The sequence below is a fragment of the Homo sapiens genome, chromosome 1 (assembly GCF_000001405.40).
Source record: "Homo sapiens chromosome 1, GRCh38.p14 Primary Assembly".
NCBI lineage: Eukaryota > Metazoa > Chordata > Mammalia > Primates > Hominidae > Homo > Homo sapiens.
Genome location: NC_000001.11, coordinates 66,656,730 through 66,678,193, shown reverse-complemented (window position 1 = coordinate 66,678,193; position 21,464 = coordinate 66,656,730). Strand labels below are relative to the sequence as shown.

Below are 21,464 nucleotides of genomic sequence, written 5' to 3'. Positions count from 1 at the left end.
TTTTCACTAGTTTTGTTTTGCAGGGGAAAACATTCAAAATCATGCCACTGTGGTTCAAATATTTTAAAAATACATTTTTCAAAGTTCAGAAGTTTTTAAAAAATTGTTGATAATGATGTTTTTCCTATCCTGTTTAATGAGGGAAATATCTTTGGAAAGGCTAGATCACACGGCTTTATAGCAATAATATTTCCAACAAACAACCTCTTGGCCTTTGATTATGAATCCCCGCGGTTAATTCTCATGATCACCTTTAGGCACCAAGGCGTAAGCTCTGGAGATGCTGAACTGGAAAAAGTATTGGTTGGTCTGTATGTGAGCCCAAAGGAGTAAAAACATCCTCTGCATCTCTCTCCTCCCCAAACACCTTTTTTTGAAAAGAGTGCTTTCCACAGGCATGCTTCAGAGGCAGTCTACTGAAAAGGGAATTCAATAAATCTTTAAGAAGGGTGGCTTTACCTGATGAACAATCCATTCAGTCCAAATAGCCCAACCCACCACCGGTGAACGGCTATCTGGATCTTCAGGACCTCCTTTCCCAGACGCCTGGGTCATGCTGGAAGAAGCCAGACTGATGGCAACTTTCACATACATTTACTCTGATCTACTATCTCAGCTTCTCTCTACCATATAGCCTCAGTTCTCTTGTTCCCCAATTGTCACTCTTTCCTATCAATGTGTCCTTTCTGTCCTGTGCAGCCTCAGTTGCTCTATAGGATGAGCAGAGACCGTATTAGACTTGTTCACCTCTGTGTTATATGATAGCCTAATGCCTGGAATGCAGTAGTTTCTTTAGCTCCCTTGCTTCTTATTCTTACTTACGTACAATGAATAAATGAATGAATAAGCATGTGGGATTTCAGAAAAGGCTATGATTCAAGGTTAATAATTTGCTTTATTATGTTATTTTCTTCCTGTCTTCATAACCTGCCCTGAGTTCTTTAACTTGAAAGCCTGTTAGAATAACATCTCTTCTTAATATTATTCAGTTCTAATGTTGCTTACATAGACTTTTTAAGAGTTGCCTAATTTCACTATGCAGACAGACACTAAAATGAGTCACTTATTTTTCCAGACAGAGCAGACACATAACTTACTTCCAGTGGGAAAAGGCCTTGTTAACTTTGGCGACTCCATGCTTGGATTAATTGGTTGGCCTGAACCCCATATCTCAGGCTGATCTAAAAGAACTGGAAACAAAAAAGAAGATTTCCCAGGGTGAGTTAAAAAAAATCCCCATACTTTAGAACTTAAAATTTCGATTTCAAGTTGAGCTTTACAAAATTATTTTCCTCTTGTCTCAGTACTAAAAAATTAACTTAGGAATGTGCTGCTCCTTATTCTTTTCAAGCAGAGAATAGAAATAGGAGTGTGGTGTGAGTGTGGGTGGGAGGAGTGTCTGTGTGTGTACATATAGCTACATAAAAACTTTCAGAGCAGAATCTGCATTTGCTTCCTGGGTGGTCACGTAAGGACATTCTGAGTATCAGTACATGTACTGGCTCTGTTTCAGGTACCCATTTGAAAATCCAGACATTAACCCCATGAACATTTGTTTTGCTGTAAGTTGGTTGATTTAAAGCCTCCTATAAATATGCTTCAAAACTGAAAACGCCTGCATTCTATGCAGTGGTTCCTATCCTTGAAGGGTCTTTACATAAACCTTTTACAGCATCATAAAAAGAAACTAAACTATCCTAAAAACACTTGGTGAATATGTTAAGAGAACCAGAAAAATGAGTGCTTAGGCACCGAACATAGGGCAATTAGGTTTTGGGCCTAAGGACACTGAATTTAACATTTCTTCTCTTTCTTTTTGCTTCCTGTTCTGATTATTAAAAATACCTATGATAATGCAAATAGTTAGTGCTTCTCAGTACCTATCCTGTGGCAGGGACTATGCAAGTACTGCTGTAATTCATTATGTTGTCTAGGACAGGCTGGGAAGTCAGTTGGATGTGGTTTGAATCTATCCTCTGCACTGACCGTAGGACCTTGGCAGGTTGCTTAACCTCTCTGCGCTGCCTTCCTTTAGTGTAAAGTGGAGATAATAAAAGCAACCTTAGAGAGTTATGAAGAGGATTAACAGAGGAAAGATATATGAATAGAGTATATATAAAATGTCTATAAAACACGTATCACAAGGCCAGTAGCTGTTACTGTCTATTTGAATACTCTTACCACCACTATGTGGTTGATACCAGTTCCACTTATGGGAGAGGAAAATAGTGATAGGAGTGGTTTAATGAGGTGTCCACGGTAAAAGCAGAAGAGCTAAGATCTGATGTAGCAGACTTTTAACTCTAAAATACATATTTTTTCCCCAGACCATTTCAACTAGTGATAGAAAGATCTTTCTAGGCCAGGCATGGTGGCTCACAGCTGTAATTCCAGCACTTTGGGAGGCTGAGGTGGGAGGATTACATGAGTCCAGGAGTTCGAGACCAGCTGGGCAACATGGTGAAACCCAGTCTCTACAAAAAATACAAAAATTAGTCAGGTGGGGTGGCATGTGCCTGTGATCCCAGCTACTCTGGGGGCTGAGGTGGGAGGATCGCTGTGGGAGGTCGAGGCTGCAGTGAGCTAAGAACTTGCCACTGTATTCCAGCCTGGGTGACAGAGTGAGATTCTGTCAAAAAAAAAAAAAAAAAAGAAAGAAAAAGAAAAAGAAAAACAACGAAAAAGAAAGACAGAAAGAAAAAGAAAAATCAATCTAAAGAAGAATGAGTAGATACAAAAGGGAAGTGTGGGTATCGAAAAAGCTAGTGTGATCGGTGCAAAGGCAGGAACTTTACAGAAGTTCAGGGGCTGAAATCATCTAAAGAACAACTGAGGCCACAGTCATGGACAGGTCTGGGTGTGTATCTCCTCCCCACCACAAGCCTCAAAGGTGGACTTCGCTCTGTTTTAACATGAAAGCAAACATTCTCCAAAGATACGAAGCAGCATTTTCTTCATGAATTCCATGTGGAACACAGCTATGATTTTTAAGAATGATTTCTATGTTTTACATAAAGTTTTCATATAGTTATGGGATTCCTTAAACGGGCAGATGTAGGTGCAACAAATCAAATCCCGTCTCCAGTCACCATACGATATGTCATTAAGAGTGAGATTGATCACAGATGAGTTAATAAGGAAACTGATAGCCTCACTGCAAGGCCACCTTTACATAGGGATTCTAAGTTATGGACATTAAAATCATTAAGGAGTATTTAGAAATGTTCTTTGTACAGTTTCCTAACAAAATCATTGAAAATATTCAGGTGTGGCTGACTGCTGGCTATCTCCCAGAATTCATTCTCCAGTTCTTCTATAGTAACAGAATTTTAGCTGGCTACATAGCACCAAATTCTCTCCAGTGGGGTTTGGCAGGAAGTGACTTGTATCTCTTCTAGTTTTGCTCTTAGAATAGTTAGCAGTGAGTTCCAGTGGTCCTCACCCCACTTCCTTTCTTCTGAATGGGAGGGGAGGAGAGCTGCAGCAGCCTCCTTGGAGCCAGAGATAAAAGTAACATTTTAAAGACAACAGAACTACTTTACCAGTCCTATATTGTTTACTTCCAGACAGTTAACCTGAAAGAGTAATAAAATTCCATCTTGTTTAATTTATTGTACTTGGGGTCTCTTTGTTAATGTAGCTTAGTCTACCCACTATGCTTCCAATTCTTTAACACTTAAGGCCCTTCACCAATAGGTCCTAGAAGGATAACATGTTATTATACATTTACCATGGTGCCCCTAAGTCAAATAATTTTTTATAAAAACATTCTATATTACCAAACATAGCTATTGGAAATACATGCATTAGACATAAACACATTTCAGGGATAGATAAGATCCATTTTATAGAGAGCTGATTTTATGTCAGTAAAGTACACGGTATTTACAGCCATCCAAAAACATGGTTAATTTAAAAATGTTAAATGTTTAACTCTAGGAATAAATATTTAATAAGTAAACTCAAAAATAATGGCAGAAATAAAGATATTTCTTCAGTAGCATTTTATTTTATTTTATTTTATTTGAGGTGGGGTCTTGCTGTGCTGCTCGGGCTGGAGTGCAATGGTGTGATCACAGCTCACTGCAGCCTTGACTTCCTGGGCTTAAGTGAACCTCCCACCTCAGCCTCCCGAGCAGCTGGGCCTACAGGCATGCACCACCATGCCCGGCTAATTTTAAAAATTTTTTTGTAGAGATGGGGGTCTCCGTATGTTGTCCAGGCTGGTCTCGAACTCCTGGGCTCAAGCAATCCTATCTCAGCATCCCAAAGTGCTGGGATTGAGGGAGTGAACCACCACACCTGGCCTTATTTCTAAGTTTCTAAATGATTCAAGGTCATTCCTGGGTCTTGAGCCAGCAAACAATGACTGTTGTGAGCAATCCAATTGATGCCTTCATTATGAGGTGGGAAAGAGCAAAGATGGTCAGGGAGGCCACACCCCAACGACAGCGACAATGACGGATGTATGAAGGTCTGTCTCCATTTGTGATTCTGTTGACACCTCAAATGATGATGGTCTGGTTCCCAGAGTGTTTACTCCATGACCGGGATTTGTGTAGACTTGCAGTAATTTTTACTGACTTGTTTTGAAGAATGAGCTTCTTAGCTATTAGATATTTCTGGAAGTAAAGTTTCAAATCCTAAAATAATAGAGATTTTCAAACTAAACTTCTGTTCTTGACAGCACACCTAGATTGAAACTTTTCTTTCCCACGAAAATAATATATTAAAAATATACCTCAAAATACATACATTTAATCTAGAAGAGTTGTACTTTAATAAAAGAAAAAACAAATCTATAATATATGGAGTTTCTTTTCCTACCTTCTGTCTTCTGTTCATCAAAAGCTGATTCTAGTGGTGGGCCAAAGAGAGGAGCAAGGGCCGTAGTGTCATCTGGAGGCTTTTTGCTAAATCACACACATTAAGGCAAAATACAGGGAAAGGGCTCAAAAATTAATACTCAAAAAGATATACAAGCTTTCACATATTTTTCTTAGTGAAACAAGTGTGTGTGTGCACCAGTGCATGCATGCATGTGTATACAAGCCCCGTTAGGGCTAGAAAGTATTTTATAAGGATGTCAGATGTATTATGGGACAAAAGAATTGGTAGAAGGTGAGATCCTTAGTTCTCAATGGAGAGCTGAGGTGCTCACCCAATAGAAATAAGTTGAAGGAGAATAACTCTTTCAAAGCATCATGATTTTCTATACCTAGAAGAGATAATACTAGAGCTGAGTTTATTGCAAAGCACCTTTCTCCCCTAAGATCTCAAGTAAAATTTATATTTGATTTCACCACATCTCTTTGTTGTAGTTAATGCAATTTATAATTAGCGAAAGTCAAGCATAGCAATATTAAGTAAAAAGCCACCGAGAAGTTTCATCCTCTAATAGACTAGTTGTAACCTCCTAATACTCCAAGATAGTAAATCTCAGAAAGAGAAGTATTGAGAAATCAGGGGGAACAGGAGGATAATAAGTTAAACTCGCATCCCTTCTCTTGATTATTACTCCAGACTGATTATTAAGAAAATGATGCATAATTATCTTCATTTCTTCTCCAAATCTGATTCCCCTCATTGATCCCAGTGAGGTCTATGTGGTATGGTAACGGGCAAGGGGTGAAGAGGAGAGGGGAGAGGTTGGAGGAGGATAAAGATTGAAAATAATCCAGTTTCAAAATAGAAATAGCAGTCTTTTTATAAAACAATGCCATTTGTACAATACTTACCTAACCCACAGAATACACTGTAAAATACAATGCTTTGCCAAAAACTAAAAACAGAATGGAAGATTCCTTTGGTGTGTGGCAGGTGGAATGTATCATGAGATGGTATCCAACTAAATAGGCTTCTTTTCGTAGGGTAATATAATGATATTGAAGATCAGCATTCCAGACACCAAAATACCTCTTTAGAGAGAAACTTTAGCTGTCCCATCAGGAAGGGGCCTGCACATTCTGATAGACAGTTACTTCAGATAAGGGCAGAATATTTCCCTAAAGGTCTCCCTTGGGCTGCACTTATGAAAAATAATAACATATTTGGACCATGCTGTGGACATATGGACTGACATGTTTTGGTAGAGCCTTTGTTAATGGGAGCTGAGAGTTTAGCTCAAAGGAGATTTGCTTAATTGTTAAAAGTTCATGATGCCTTGCATAAAACACAACTAATGTCTTTCACACTCACCTTATAAGTTCTGGAGTTGGTGTGGAACGCCTGGGTCTTGCCACTTCTTCACCTGATGCACAGGACAAAGGAACTTTTTAGACAAATTTTTACCATTCCCTGATATGTCTTATAACCTATGTTTGGAAACACTTAGAGATTTAAGTCCCATCAATAAGCAACTCAGTATGAAAACTTTGCAAAACAAACCTTCTCCCCTGGCAATGCAACAGCCATATATTAGGCATATGTAGTGGTGTTTTCTCTGGCATTTGTAAAACCTCATTAACTAAGGAACTTCCGTGACAAGCCATCAAATAGAAGATTTGTATAGTGCAGCACTTAGTGAAAGAGCACACCATTCTTGGAATGTCTGCTGCCTTGACTGGTTCTGCTTTCCAATTAAGAGAATACTAAGCCAGGCCATATGTGTAATACATGAATCCAGCATTCTCTGCCTGTTCTTTTCTTGAAATGCCAAGAAAATGTTGTATCTTTAACTATGAAACATGAATTTAGAATTTCCTAGGAAGTGTTGTATGCAGCAGAGGAAAATTGTGCCCTATGTGTATTATAACCTATATCGCATCACTTTGGTTGACTAAAATTTTCATATCAAATAACACAAGAATGGGTAAGTTGCTTCTACTTTCAGTTCCTTCTGCCCGCCTGTTCTTCCCACCCCCAGCAACAAATACACACTTGATTAAATTCATTTCTAAAGTTAAATAATACAGCAAGAGTTGACAAATATAGAAAGAAAATAGCAATGTTTTTCCAAAAACATATTTATTTTCAGAACTTAAACATTAATCACTCAGAACCCACAAGTGCCCTCTATCATTACAAGAATTCTTTGCTGTAAAAGTAAAAAAATTGTAAGTCTTAAAAATTAAGCCCAGGAATGTATAATTCATATGTACATATACTCCAAGATCCAAGGAACTGTTCTTTCTTTTAAATCATACACTATTTCTGGTAGCTAAGATATACTTACTGGATAAGTTCCTTTTAATTGCACCCTAGAATTAGAAATAGACACTATAAGGTTTAAGACCACATATATGTTATGTACAATATGTATTATTTCTGTCATTGCAATTAAACTGAACTCAAATAAATGCAGATAGGGAAATGAACTTTTTCTCAGAACCGCATTTAAGTAGGAAATTGTAGATACACACACAGAAATCAGTTTTTTATTTCACTCAAAGATTATAGAGAGGAAGAAAGGGTAAATCGTAAGTCTTCTGAAGAAGAAAAACCCCTTACCTGGGTAGATTTGGTAAATTAAATTCAAATATTGATTAGTCCATTAAAAAAAACCTCTTGAAGTCTAGTAGATAAGAAAGTAAATCGAAGTTTAGCATATATTTGATGCTTAAAAATTACAGAATGTGTTTAGGAGTAGTGCATGCTCCTTGCCAGGTGTGGTCCCCAGGTTGCTAATGGAAACAGTCATCAGTTTACAAATGTGATTTTAAAAGGTATAGATAGCAAGTGTAAAAGGCAGGGGAAACTTGAACTATCTGCCATTGAATGAACTGTTTTATTCAGAAAGCCAGGGAATTCCACCTATGCACTCATCCTCCCAATTTATTTCACTTGCCTGCCACTAGGCCCATCAATTCATGAATTGGAAGTAATGTCTTTAGCTCAAGGCATTGTGATATTATTGGAATACAAATAGCCCTGGTAGGAATAATCTGAGCAGGTCATCTCCAGTTTTTATAATGCCTTAGCATAAACTTATTTAGATAGTAAAAGGATTGATTAGATTAAGAGTTTTGATTAAAAACCAGAAGTTGTGAAAAGTTCTTAGTGTGGGATGCCACCAGAAAACTAGACCACCAGGATGGTTGCATCGTGGGGTACAGCATGGCTTGGGATGCCTGCAGTAGGAGAATGACAGGGGCAGAGTTGAGGACAGGGAAAGCTGAAGTACATATAAGAAAGCATTCCAAAAGCTGAGACCATGAACACATTTGTTGGATGGCCACCAAACACATTTTTTCCTACTTTTTAATTTTAGTGAAGGCTCAATCTGGTGGTCACAGATACATTTTCTTCTCTCAAAGTATAACATTAACAGCTTAGGACAAGGTTTAGCACCTCTGTAATTGACCTATAAGAAGCTTCTTTCCCTCGTTCCTAAGGCTATATAAGCATTTTCTGTCCCATTTTGAACCCATTTATGCTACGGGAGCAGTTTCAATCTGAACAAGGATCCATTTGATGCTTTCTCAATCTCTCAAACTACATTTTCTGGCTTTTTGTCTAATAATGTGATCTGTTTTTCCCTACTAAGTGTGTCATATAGAGAATTACTACACTATTTATAAATACTTTCTAATAAATATGGCCATGTAAATCTGCTGAGGACATTATGGAAGTTTGGATACAGGTTCGCTTTTGGAAAAGAAGGCTCTGTAGACAGAAATGATTAGATAACAGAAATAATTAGATAACAGATGTTTTTCTGGGTTATGAACCCTCAGATAGAATTTCATTAATAAGATCTGAAGGAAGAGATAGAGGGGCTTTAGTTCCAAGCAGTCAATCACAAGATTAATAAATGGCATTGAGGGAACACAGCCCACCTAGTACTGTGAGGCCTAAAAGCCAGGAGGTCCCAGAGGTTGTATTGAAGACCTTTTTGTCCCTCTGTCCTACTCCTTCAAATGTTAATATCCATGAAACCAAGAAAGCTACAGAGCTCCTTTTGTAGTCATCAATTCCCAGGTGTGTCAATTCATTCAATGGATATTCACAGTTGAAAGGCACTAAAGAAGAAGCCCCTGTAACATTTTTATTAAATAGTCTTCATGAATGAACAATCTCAAGTTAAGTGCAACCAAAACATGGCAGAAATATTCAAGAAAACTCTGTTGTTTAGAAATTAGGAAGAACAAAGCTAGTATCAATTTAGAAAGCAACAAATGTTTGAAAGATCAGCAGCAACTCAGCAGCAACAGAAAAGAAAGTCCTGCTATCTGCTGGATGGGCATACAGATCTCTGATGACCTTAATGTTGCAGCATGACATATCTAGAAAAAGACTGAGGTGATGTCGACCACACAAACCACATTCAGGAAAAAAGCCCATTGGATTCAAAAACCTCCCTTTGTCAAGCGACTGTATTTTCCCCCTTTCAATGCTTGTTTGTTGTTATATGTATGTTGTGAATAAATTTCCTCACTTTGAATGATTGAATTCACTCTTTTCATAATCTGTGATGTCACTTAACAGCTGGGTTGGAATCATCCGTAGATTAGCAGTCTCTGCAGATACCATCTTTGAATGGCATTAGCTATGTAGTTTAGCAGAGAACCACCAACTGGTCACCTGGGGCAGGGTATTTGCATCAAATAATAATTGACTAATTGGATTGGCACAGGCCTAGGGATATTTCAGAGAGTGTTGTCTTCAGTTCCATTTCCTCTCTTAAGGGACTGACCAGGTAAATGGGGATCATTTCAAACCTAACAAAGACCCTTCTTTTTGTTGCTTTAAATTCATGATACTCTTCAGCTGGGCGCAGTGGCTCAGCCTGTAATCCCAGCACTTTGGGAGGTCGAGGCAGGTGGATCATGAGGTCAGGAGATTAAGACCATCCTGGCTAACATGGCGAAACCCTGTCTCTACTAAAAATACAAAAATTAGCTGGGCATGGTGGCAGGCGCCTGTAATCCTAGCTACTCGGGAGGCTGAGGCAGGAGAATTGCTTGAACTCGAGAGGCGGAGGTTGCAGTGAGCAGAGATCACGCCACTGCACTCCAGCCTGGGCAACAGAGCGAGATCCGTCACAGAAAAAAAAAAATTTATGATACTTTTCAACTTGAGGAAAACGACAGTTTTCACTTTGAACAATGCAAATTAATATTGATCTACCCTCCCAAAGTTTGTCTTCTGTGATGAAATTTATTTAGAATTATGTGATAGCCTAGGAATATTGACTTGAAAGTGTGTCTCCCTCTCCCAAGATGGAAATTATAATGATGTATCTGTATATTCTGATCATTGTAAGTTATGGTCCAGGAACATATTTTGAATTCAGGCTTACAAACAATGATGGCTTAAAAATGATGTCCTTACATTCTTATTCATTTTATTATTCTTTATTATCTCTTTGCTATCAACTTCTATGGTACTTTCTGGTGAATCTCTAGGCCTTTTATATACACATACACACACACACACATATATACACACACACTCCATATATTTTCCAAGTTTAGTACTAGGAGTTGGGATTCCCATCTATTAATTTAGTTACTTATGGGAAAGTGCTCTGACAATTCTAAAATATGCCCTTGATACTTAAGAGGGTCAGAGGCTTTCAATCAGTAAACCTATTTCATCTGCCTCATTCACACTGGGTTATCATAAATTTAATGGGAAACCAACCTGGCCACCTTGCCTTGGCAGCAATTTTCTCTATACATGTTTAAGGTAAAAATGTTGAGAGTTCTTACCGGGCTGCGCCTCTGTGATCAGCAAAAAGGAAGAGAGAACAGACACCTAGTCAGAGAATGATGGATCAGTCAACAGTCTTGGGTAACAGAAGACTTTATAAGCAGCTAACCAAACATACACTCCAGAGAATCAGGCCAAAGGAAGACAGGCAGTCCTAGTGTTTAGGGCTTATTTAAACCATAGGAGGCTTTGGAGAACCTTAAAGAGAGGCTATCCATTGTACAATACAGCTTTGCTAATGTGGGTATGTAAGTTTTAGTTATGTGTACATAAGAACAAGGCAGAAACATACAAGAAAACTTTACTGACAATGTTTAATGTCTTGCCGTAGAAGTTTTTCTCCAGATAGTTTGGGGGGGGGTACTTAGAGAATAGAGAAGTAAACTGTTTCCCTACAGAGCTGGATGTTAGCAAATATAGACAATAATGCATTTCCCACATAGTTAGGGTACAAAAAGAGCTTACAAAAAATCAGAGGCAGGATTTAGAGACCCCTTTTCCTTGTCTGGATTTTTTCTTTGGTGTTCTATGGAAGGTGTGCTTATAAGGATTTTTTGAATGTTCTTGGCCTAGTGATCTGGGCAGCCTCTACCAATGTGATGCGAATGATGAGAATGTGATGGCGAAGATGAGGAGCCCCTGACAAACGTAGTCGGGAATGACGAAAACTGTCCAGCAGCAACAGAACCCTGGTGGACCAGATGACCTTAGAAAACACAAAATCAATGTGCAAAAATCATGAGCATTCCTATACACAAATAACAGACAAACAGAGAGCCAAATCATGAGTGAACTCCCATTCACAATTGCTTCAAAGAGAATAAAATACCTAAGAATTCAACTTACAAGGGATGTGAAGGACCTCTTCAAGAAGAACTACAAACCACTGCTCAATGAAATAAAAGAGGACACAAACAAATGGAAGAACATTCCATGCTCATGGATAGGAAGAATCAATATCATGAAAATGGCCATACTACCTAAGGTAATTTATAGATTCAATGCCATTCCCATCAAGCTACCAATGACTTTCTTCACAAAACTGGAAAAAACTACTTTAAAGTTCATATGGAACCAAAAAAGAGCCCTCATTGCCAAGACAATCATAAGCAAAAAGAACAAAGCTGGAGGCATCACACTGCCTGACTTTAAACTATGCTACAAGGCTACAGTAACCAAAACAGCATGCTGCTGGTACCTAAACAGAGATATAGACCAATGGAACAGAACAGAGGTCTCAGAAATAACAATACACATCTACAACCATCTGATCTTTGACAAACCTGACAAAAACAAGCAATGGGGAAAGGATTCCCTATTTAATAAATAGTGCTGGGAAAACTGGCTAGCCATATGTAGAAAGCTGAAACTGGATCCCTTCCTTACACCTTATACAAAAATTAATTCAAGATGGATTAAAGACTTACATGTTAGACCTAAAACCATAAAAACCCTAGATGAAAACCTAGGTAATACCATTCGGGACAGAGGCATGGGCAAGGACTTCATGACTAAAACACCAAAAGTAATGACAACAAAAGCCAAAATAGACAAATGGGATCTAATTAAACTGAAGAGCTTCTGCACAGGAAAAGAAACTACCATCAGAGTGAACAGGCAACCTACAGAATGGGAGAAAATTTTTGTAGTCTACTCATCTGACAAAGGGCTAATATCCAGAATCTACAAAGAACTTACACAAATTTACAAGAAAAAATCAAATAACCCCATCAAAAAGTGGGCAAAGGATATGAACAGACACTTCTCAAAAGAAGACATTTATGCAGCCAATAGACACATGAAAAAATGTTCATCATCACTGGTCATCACAGAAATGCAAATCAAAACCACAATGAGATATCATCTCACACCAGTTAGAATGGCAATCACTAAAAGTCAGGAAACAACAGGTGCTGGAGAGGATGTGGAGAAATAGGAATGTTTTTACACTGTTGGTGGGAGTGTAAATGAGTTCAACCATTGTGGAAGGCAGTGTGGCGATTCCTCAAGGATCTATAACTAGAAATACCATTTGACCCAGTGATCCCATTACTGGGTATATACCCAAAGGATTATAAATCATGCTGCTATAAAGACACATGCACACGTATGTTTATTGTGGCACTATTCACAATAGCAAAGACTTGGAACCAATCCAAATGTCCATCAATGATAGACTGGATTAAGAAAGTGTGGCACATATACACCATGGAATACTATGCAGCCATAAAAAGGATGGGTTCATGTCCTTTGCAGGGACATGGATGAAGCTGGAAACCATCATTCTGAGCAAACTATCGCAAGGACAGAAAACCAAACACCAGATGTTCTCACTCTTAGGTGGGAATTGAACTATGAGAATGCTTGGACACAGGGTGGGGAACATCACACATCAGGACCTGTCGTGGGGTGGTGGATGGGGGAGGGATAGAATTAGGAGAAATACTTAATGTAAATGATGAGTTAATGGGTGCAGCAACCAACATGGCACCATGTATACATATGTAACAAACCTGCACGTTGTGCACATGTATCCCAGAACTTAAAGTATGATAAACAACAACAACAACAACAACAACAAAAGCACAACAAGCAGATGTATGACCTCTTTCTTTTGCTTTTCAAATCTTGATTATGGCTGCTATCAATTTATTCCAACAATCTCTAATAGCTCTGCCTCTTTAGGAGCTTTCCGATATAAACACGAGTGACTAGCATGTGAGTAGGGAAAGAGCTGTTGGTCAGTTTCCCTTTCAATATGTGCGCTAATGCATGGATTCACCAGAGGCTACCTCCCAAAACCAAAACTAGGAGCACAAACACAAAGAAAGCTAGGAGTTTGTTCAAATGTAGAAGATGTTCTTTCTAGAACATAGATAGGAAGCAAAAACTTGTAGCTTTTTACATCTGGTAGGCCTCCAGGAATGTCTAGTTCAACTGGCTACATGCTATAGAGAGGAAGGTGAGGCTCTGAGATATACAGCTAGTAGGCAGGTAGAACCAGACACAGAATTCAGATCCCTGATTTCTCATTTTCTCATTGCTTCTATGATGCCAAGCTTGGCATTGTTGAATGACTCCAAAAGCAGAGAGTCATTGTGATTAACGTCCAGGAGTGGTTATTTTTCAGACCAGTTTATAAGTAGCTAGGACACTAGACATATTATTCTAGTCAATTTACTTGTAATATTATAGACTTTATTATTTGCCTTATTTTCCAGATACTGCTACCTATTGAATCCACCTTTCTTATAAACCTGCCTGGATGCACCTTAAATGAAATTAGAAAAAAAAGGCCACATAAATACCTATTTCTGTGCTTAAATTATCTTATTGACTAATCCATACTGTGCTTTGAGGAAAATTCAAATACTTTTTTATATGAAAATTTAGACTTTATTATTCTTTAGTGACCAGATTAAAAAGTTCTTTGGTGTAGAAAGAAGTATGGGAATTTCATGACAAACAATTCACTTTTAAAATATAGCAATTAGAGGACTAAAAGTGGCCCAAGATGAAATTATGAGAAATATGAAAAATAGAGTCTAGATTGCAAGCATTCAGAGGCAAAACCTTACATATAAGACACTTTATTATTAAAGTAGGTGCAAAAGTAATTGCGGTTTTTTGCTATTACTTTTAATTTAAGGTTATACAGAACACTTTTTCAAAATAATTTCAAATATATTAATCCACCCAAATTGAGTTGTATCTTAATTTCCAATGAGTTATAAACCTATACTTTAATCACAAGTTCAAGGTTTAATTTTTTTTCTAGTAAAAGACAACCTTGTAATATAGCATTTTGGAAACTCCATTTGCAAAATGCCTTCAGCAGGGAATAGCTGTTCAAATTCATGTAGTCACAGGCTGATTAAACAGAACCCAAAAGACACAGCTAGAAGCTGTGCAAAGTACAGACCCAGAAAGCCTCAAGGTCTATAATTAAGAGCTATCTGAAAGCTTCAATAGGAAAATAATTCCAGGAGCAAATGGAAGGGCTTTATATATGTCAGTTACCACCACCGAAGAGCAAAAACTGGCTTAGGCTATGCTGGACAAGGACAGAAAAATTATTATCAGCCAGGAGGGAAGGGTCTTTTCCTGTTCACAATTTTACTTTACCCTTTCTCCCATCATTTCCCAAGAATGTCAAAGCCTTTAGTGTTCTATTTTTTGTTTACCAATATACAGAATTTTCTTCAAAGGCAGAAGAAAACTGATTTAGTATCTGGTCTTGATATATTCTATAAGCTGAGAGATCTATGTCCAGAGTTGCAAACCCAAATGCTTGCAGGAGTAAAAAGTGGGTGGGGGATGGGGAGGGGGTGCTGGGAGTCAGGCACATACACATTGTGAGATTCTGGAAAACTTGCCACTGTTCAGTGCACCCCATGTGCGCCACGTGAGAATGTGGGCTTAGTCCTGCCAGGTCTTCAGAGAGATGATGAGCATCCAGATTTTTTTTTTTAATTTGAAATGTTCTAGTTTTGAAATGTGGGCTAAAATCGTTTTTAACTGCACAACCAAACAAAACACCTATTCATTTGTTCAGAATCTGCAGGAGATTAATTCATCTCTGATTGCAGCCATTTGTATCATACATAATAAGCTCTCAGTAAATTCTATCTGCTGTTATTATTGCTATATTTCTATGTCTGATTACTCAGAGACTTTGCAAGTGGTCTACTTGTTTTCTGAACAAATTTCCTTCATTTCTAATTAAATACTGTGTTCAATACCTAGATTTCTGTTGGTCTTCCAATGCGGAAAACATTTTATTTTCCCTTCTACTTTTATTTTGGTGTTCAACTTAGAGATAACTCTTATTTTATATGTTGAAACTATTTTCAAAGTGGATAAACACTGCTAATCTATGATTTTGTCACTGGAATGAAGATCTAGAATGTGGTATATTTCTAAAATTTATATAATTTTCAAAATGAATATGTCTACCTAAAAGAAAACACTGCAGCCTATGTCTTCAGCCTTCACACTGTTCTTCTATGACACGGCAGTTCTATTACCTTTTGCTTAACAGAATTAATTTAAATTCAGTTAACTATGACACCTTAGTCTTAGTCAATGTGAATAAAGTGTTTCAATATGTTTATCATTTCCAACTAACCAAACAGTCTATCCCCCTTGTCACATTCATTAAATAACCCAGATTTTGAAGTTTTGTGACATCCTAATTTGCTAAATTTAGTGCTATGGGGAAACAAAGATGAAAATAGGCAATAAACTACAAAGCACTAAACAAATAAGACTTTTCTGTAGTCTCGTTTTAGCAAATTGAGTGATTAATGTTAGAGAATTTTCTAGGAAAGGATTAGAATATATGATCACTACATTTATTACTAAGATTCCTACGAGGATTCCTATTTGTTTTTTAAATGCTTTAGGGTGAAGACAAACTATTTGGCAAGCATTAATTTGCCACACTATTGTAGGTGTTTATCTGTATTTAAACTTGGGTCGACTACATATTACAAGTTAGATTACGGAGACTGTCTATTATATTCAATCAGACATATTTGAGATGATCTTCTAAAACTTCATTTGGGAAGAGAAACAAAGAACCTGCTAGTAACCAAGGTATCATCAAAATGACCAGGCTGAGGAATCAAGATGGACATTTCCAAAGAAAAATGAGGTGAGGGAATGATGGGGGGGATATTCTTGTAGTTAAAATTGCCGTGAAGGACAACAGGAGAAAAATTAATGAAAAAGAGAATTTTTAAAGCACCATAGGCAAACTTCAGGCCACACAGTCCTGTGGATATTTGAGGTGGCCAAATTTGGTTAATTCAGGAAAATATTCAGGGTCTACAAGAATAAATGAAATTGGTAAAGGGTAAGAAAAGGCTGTTAAAGAGCACCAGTAATATTTTGCTGCCACAGAACAGGCGATGCATAGTTGACTCTGAATTACTCAGAAGCGGGCCATTTAGCTTAGTAATAATCGTAATTGTAGCTGCCTATTTTATTTTTGGAAACCAAAAGAGTTGGGCTCACATTTTGAGACATTTTAATGTTTTGGTCTCATATTTTTGTCCTTCCTGTGTCTCTGTTCCGCCTCCCTCCTATCCTATAGCTTTTCTGTAAGCACAGTATCCTGTATGTGGTGCAGTGGCTGCCAGGATTTGGTCAGCGGGAAGCATAAGAGGTGAAAGCACTTATTGCACCATCCACCTAGGTGCGTTAACAACAAACCGGTCACTTGTTGGTGCTGTGAACATGGAACATAATATCTTCCTATTTTCCAGCAGAGAGGTCACCTCTGTCAGCCATGCATCAGCATCCTGAGAACATGTTCCCAACAAACCAGGCAACCAAGAAGAGAACAAATTCATTTTATTTTTTGAAATCTGTTCCTCGTGTTGCTCTAAAATAAAACGATGTAGGTACATCGTATCAGACTTGTGTTGCCACTAAAAATCACCCACTGCTACTAAAAATTAACATCCAGGAGGTAATTTACATTTTATAAAGATTCTCTTTTCCAGACTCTGACAATTCCAGGAGGGAATATTTTGATTTACTAAAACAAAAACAAAATAAAACCCCCCAGCTTCCCTACAACTCCCCATTCCCGGGCCAGCTTCATAGGCATTCCAGATGCTACTATGTTGTACGCTAATCAAAAATTAACTTATAAAACATTTGCTTAGCTCATGATATGTATAAGTAGCTTGACTAATTCCAGTGGAAACTGCAATAAATGAAACTTAGTACCAAAAATATTTGATCGTGTGGCTGTGATTGAACCAGAGGTGAATCTTTACAAAATTACCCCAGGGCCCTTAATAACGGGGTTGTAAAAGCACTTAGCAACCAACTTCCTTTTTTCCCATGTGGCATAATGAGACCTGGTCATGGTTCGCAAAGATTTGTTTTTAAAGTTCAAAACCTTGTTTAGGTGTTAAACACAGTCAGTCATTAGATATGCAGATAATGAAAATAAACAGAATAAATAATGTTTGCCCCAAAAGCGGGAAGGACTTATTTCTTACCGGACTTTTCCTCTAAAAGCGTAGGCATGGGGAGGAAGAATAAAGAGAAAATGAGAGAGGTGAAATGTATTTTCAAGAAGAAACAGGTCAAGGTTCAGGATAACCTTACTTAAGGGAGCTCTCGAAGGCACTGCTTTTATAAATGCTTCCTGTGGGGGTCTGATATGGTCATTCCTAGGCTGCTGTCTTTAGTTCAAGCTACAGAGGGCATAGGTGTGGACTTCATCTGGGCATCTGAGCACATTCTAAACTTGCTCTTTCCTCCCTTCCTTCCTCCCTCCCTCCCTCCCTCCCTCTTTCTTTCTTTCTCTTTCTTTCTTTCTTTCTTTCTTTCTTTCTTTCTTTCTTTCTTTCTTTCTTTCTTTCTTTCTTTCTTTCTCTCTTCTTTCTTTCTTTCTTTCTTTCCTTCCTTCCTTCCTTCTTCCTTCCTTCCTTCCCTCCCTCCTTCCTTCCTTTCTTCCTTTCTTTCTTTTCTTTCTTTCTTTCCTTCCTTCCTTCCTTCCTTCCTGTCTGTCTGTCTGTCTGTCTTTCTTTCTTTCTTTCTTTCTTTCTTTCTTTCTTTCTTTCTTTCTTTTTCTTTCTTTTTCTTTCTCTCTTTTTCTCTTTCTGTTTCTGACAGAGTCTGTCTTGCTCTGTGCCCTGGGAGGAGTGCAGTGGCATAATCATAGCTCACTGAAACCCTCAACTCCTGGTTTCAAGAGATCCTCCCACCTCAGCCTCCCATGTAGCTAGGACTACAGGCATGTACAACAGTCTCTGGCTAATTATTTTTATTTTTGTAAAGATAGGGTCTTGCTATATTGCCCAGGCTAGTCTTGAACTTCTGGTCTCAAGTGATCCTCCCACCTCAGCCTCTTAAAGTTCTGGGATTACAGGTGTAAACCACCGTGCCTGGCCTAATCTTTCTTTTGAATGGTTTACTTTTATCAAACAGATCTGTGGCTTGACAATAAAAAAATTATGCCTTGTAATATTGAGAGGAGTTGGAAAATACTACTCATGCATTGTAGCTGGGCACGGTCATGAAATGAAAGCATGAGACTTTCCAGAAGCTCCAGTTTCTCCAGGGAACCCAGAACCTATCATCTCCCAAGTCACCATGGCTAGAGCCGTCAGTTCTTCTTTGATCCCATCCTTAATTTTCCCCTATTCTTCATAGACAATTATGAATTCTTCTCCCTGTGAGTGGTCAATGGCCCCTCAGAATGCCCTGTTACTTCCTCAGCACCTGTCTTAATGAGGCCTTCATTATCTTTCACTGACAGCACATGAGCTTCCTAGCTGATGGTCCTATTTCCAGCTTCATCTCCTAATCCATCCTTCACACTATCCTCGGAATCATTTTCCAAAAATAGTGAAGTGAATATATCATTCTGCCCTTAAAAAACCTCCTTATTATCCGGAAAATAGAATGCCAACTCCATTCTATGGAATTTAATGCTTTGGTGATGGGCTCCAACTTCCCTTCCCATCCTCATCGTCCTCCGTTGGCTTTCTATGAAGCCTGCACTTCGCTGCACTCTCCTGGCTCTCTTGGATGTGCCGTGCACTTACACGCTTCCCTGTCTCCTGCCCATGCTGCTTCTCCCTCTCCCCCAATCAAAATTACTCATTCTTCAAGGTCAGTAACATTTCTTCCATGAGACCTTTCCCAGATTCGCCTGCCAAAATAAATTGTTCCCTTCTCTGGTTTGATTGTGACCCATTCCTTTTGTTCAAAATAATAAACAAATATTGAAGGCCTTTCTATTGGCCTGACATTTATTAGCCTCAGGGAACAAAGGTACCCATTGCTAGTACATTTCTGCAATTTTTATTTTGTTCTGTATTATTTAGATATCTCCACTTGATTATTAGCTCACAGTAATGGCTATGCATGGATTCTCTCTAGCCCCAAACATAGAGTGAGGCACTCAACACATGTTTATAAATTCCCTTTTTGGGGAGCCATTGAAACATTATACAAATGTTTGAAGCACAGTGTCTTTTGAAATATAAAAAATAAATTGTTGTCTGAAATAAGGTTGAATTATATATGGCACAAGCTATGTGTCCTCAGTTGTAATGTTTCTTTCACCAGCTCCATAAATATTTCAGTTAGTTCCTACTTAACTGTTAATTTCTCTGCCTGTTAGTGACCTCAGGTGCTTACACATGTTGCAAATGTTCTAAAGAAGTGGCACAGCTTTGTACAACATTAGTGTAGATTATGTGTTCAGATCTCCAGGGCAGAATTTTCTCCTAGAGCAAAAACTAATGCTTCAGAATAGTTAAGGGCCAAGAAAGGGACTACATCCTTGTAGTTTTCAGTCCTTGAACTAAAACTCTTACTTATAAGGTAAATTTCTCAGCCTTTTCTAAAATAAAATGCATCTTATTTAATTAAAATCAGAAGACTAAACATGAACACACAAATGATAAAGGTTACCCCTCCCCTCCTCTACATCTCTCCACCTCAGGCTACCGCATATATTAAACCATCTTTATTTAATATGTTGTTTTGCTATGGCAGCAGCTATCAACACCTAGGCTATTATCCTGACCTCTTAGCTTAAAGGTTTCTTCAGAATGTTGAAAAAAACAATAAAAACAAAGATAGGAAAAAACAAAGATGTTTTCGATTTAAAATGGGCTAATAGCATCAGAGTTTATTTTTAATTATGGAAAAGATAAATAAGAGAAATGGGAGTGATATTCCTCTGGGCTTACTTGTAAATAGAAATAGAGTAAGTGAATTTTTGGAGTAAAGCATAAATTTACCTAAAATATAACCATTGAATGGTTACAAAGTACAGGGATTTTTTTTTGTCCAATAGTCTAAGAAAACACAATTTCTGACTGACAAAGCTTGTTGAAAAGTGGCTTATCCCATAATCAACAGCTTTCAAGGAACTCATAGACCCTTATCCTCTGCAGCTGGAGAGTCTCTCTCTCTGTCTCTCTCTGGCTGTTATTACTCCAAATAACATGGTAAAATGCAAGTATGCACTCAAGTTAGGTTTTGTTGAGGACTACATTTTTGCATGAGGGGTTAGAAACCAATTCAAAATTGAATTGTGTTTGAGAATCAAAGCTAATAGAGGTGAATGAAGAAAATATAAACCAGTTTTGATGGTCACTTACATGAAGGTTTCGTGCTCTGATTACATCTCTGCTTGCTTCCTAGCTTAACAAGGAATTGAGCTGCCATGGGAATTTTGGCATCAGGCATCATAGAGTGGGATCAAGACATAAAAGTCAGGTTGAATCTGTAAGCCTTTTAAGAGTCTGCAATCATTGAACCTTAAAAATAGGATGGCTGTATCCTGAATCTTCCTCTTTTTATTTTCATTTATATGATATATTTTTAGAGATAGGGTCTAGTTTTATTCCCCAGGCTGAAGCGCAGTGGTGTAATCATAGCTCACTCTAACCTTGAACTCCTGGGCTCAAGTGATCCTCCCATCTCAGCCTCCTGAGTAGCTGGGATTATAGGTGCATGCCACTGCGCCTGGGTAATTTTATTTTTATTTTATTTTTTGTAAAGACGGGGTCTCGCTATGTTGCTCAGGCTGGTCTCAAACTCCTGGGCTCAAGCTATCCTCCCAACGTTGCTTCCCAAAGCACTGGGATTATAGGCATGAGCCACTATGCCCAATCTGATTCTTTATATTTTGATAAATGGGATTCTATTATAAAATAATCACTTTGTCTCAGTTATTTACGACTGGTTGGGTATTCACAAGGAGCAAAAGGATTATTCATTTATTAAGCCATTAACAGATATTTATTGAGCACCTAGTAAATACCAGACAC

At 38.0% G+C, this 21,464-nt stretch overlaps 1 protein-coding gene across 55 annotated transcripts in view; it reads right to left on the bottom strand.

Annotated features, from left to right (window-relative positions):
• SGIP1 (SH3GL interacting endocytic adaptor 1) overlaps window positions 1-21,464 on the bottom strand; it is a 217,779-nt gene that overhangs the window by 72,946 nt on the left and 123,369 nt on the right. For 28 of the 55 annotated variants that reach the window (NM_001376549.1, XM_047432059.1, XM_047432054.1 and 25 more), the window contains 4 exons: window positions 7,175-7,199; window positions 6,199-6,250; window positions 4,828-4,913; window positions 1,098-1,190 (listed from right to left, as the gene is read on the bottom strand). In NM_001376549.1, coding sequence (NP_001363478.1) covers window positions 1,098-1,190; window positions 4,828-4,913; window positions 6,199-6,250; window positions 7,175-7,199 — 256 coding nt within the window. Of the gene's footprint in view, window positions 1-1,097; window positions 1,191-4,827; window positions 4,914-6,198; window positions 6,251-7,174; window positions 7,200-10,652; window positions 10,665-17,669; window positions 17,682-21,464 lie in introns of all 55 variants that reach the window. The other 27 variants (XR_007064415.1, NM_001376535.1, NM_001376542.1 and 24 more) reach the window with 1 other exon arrangement.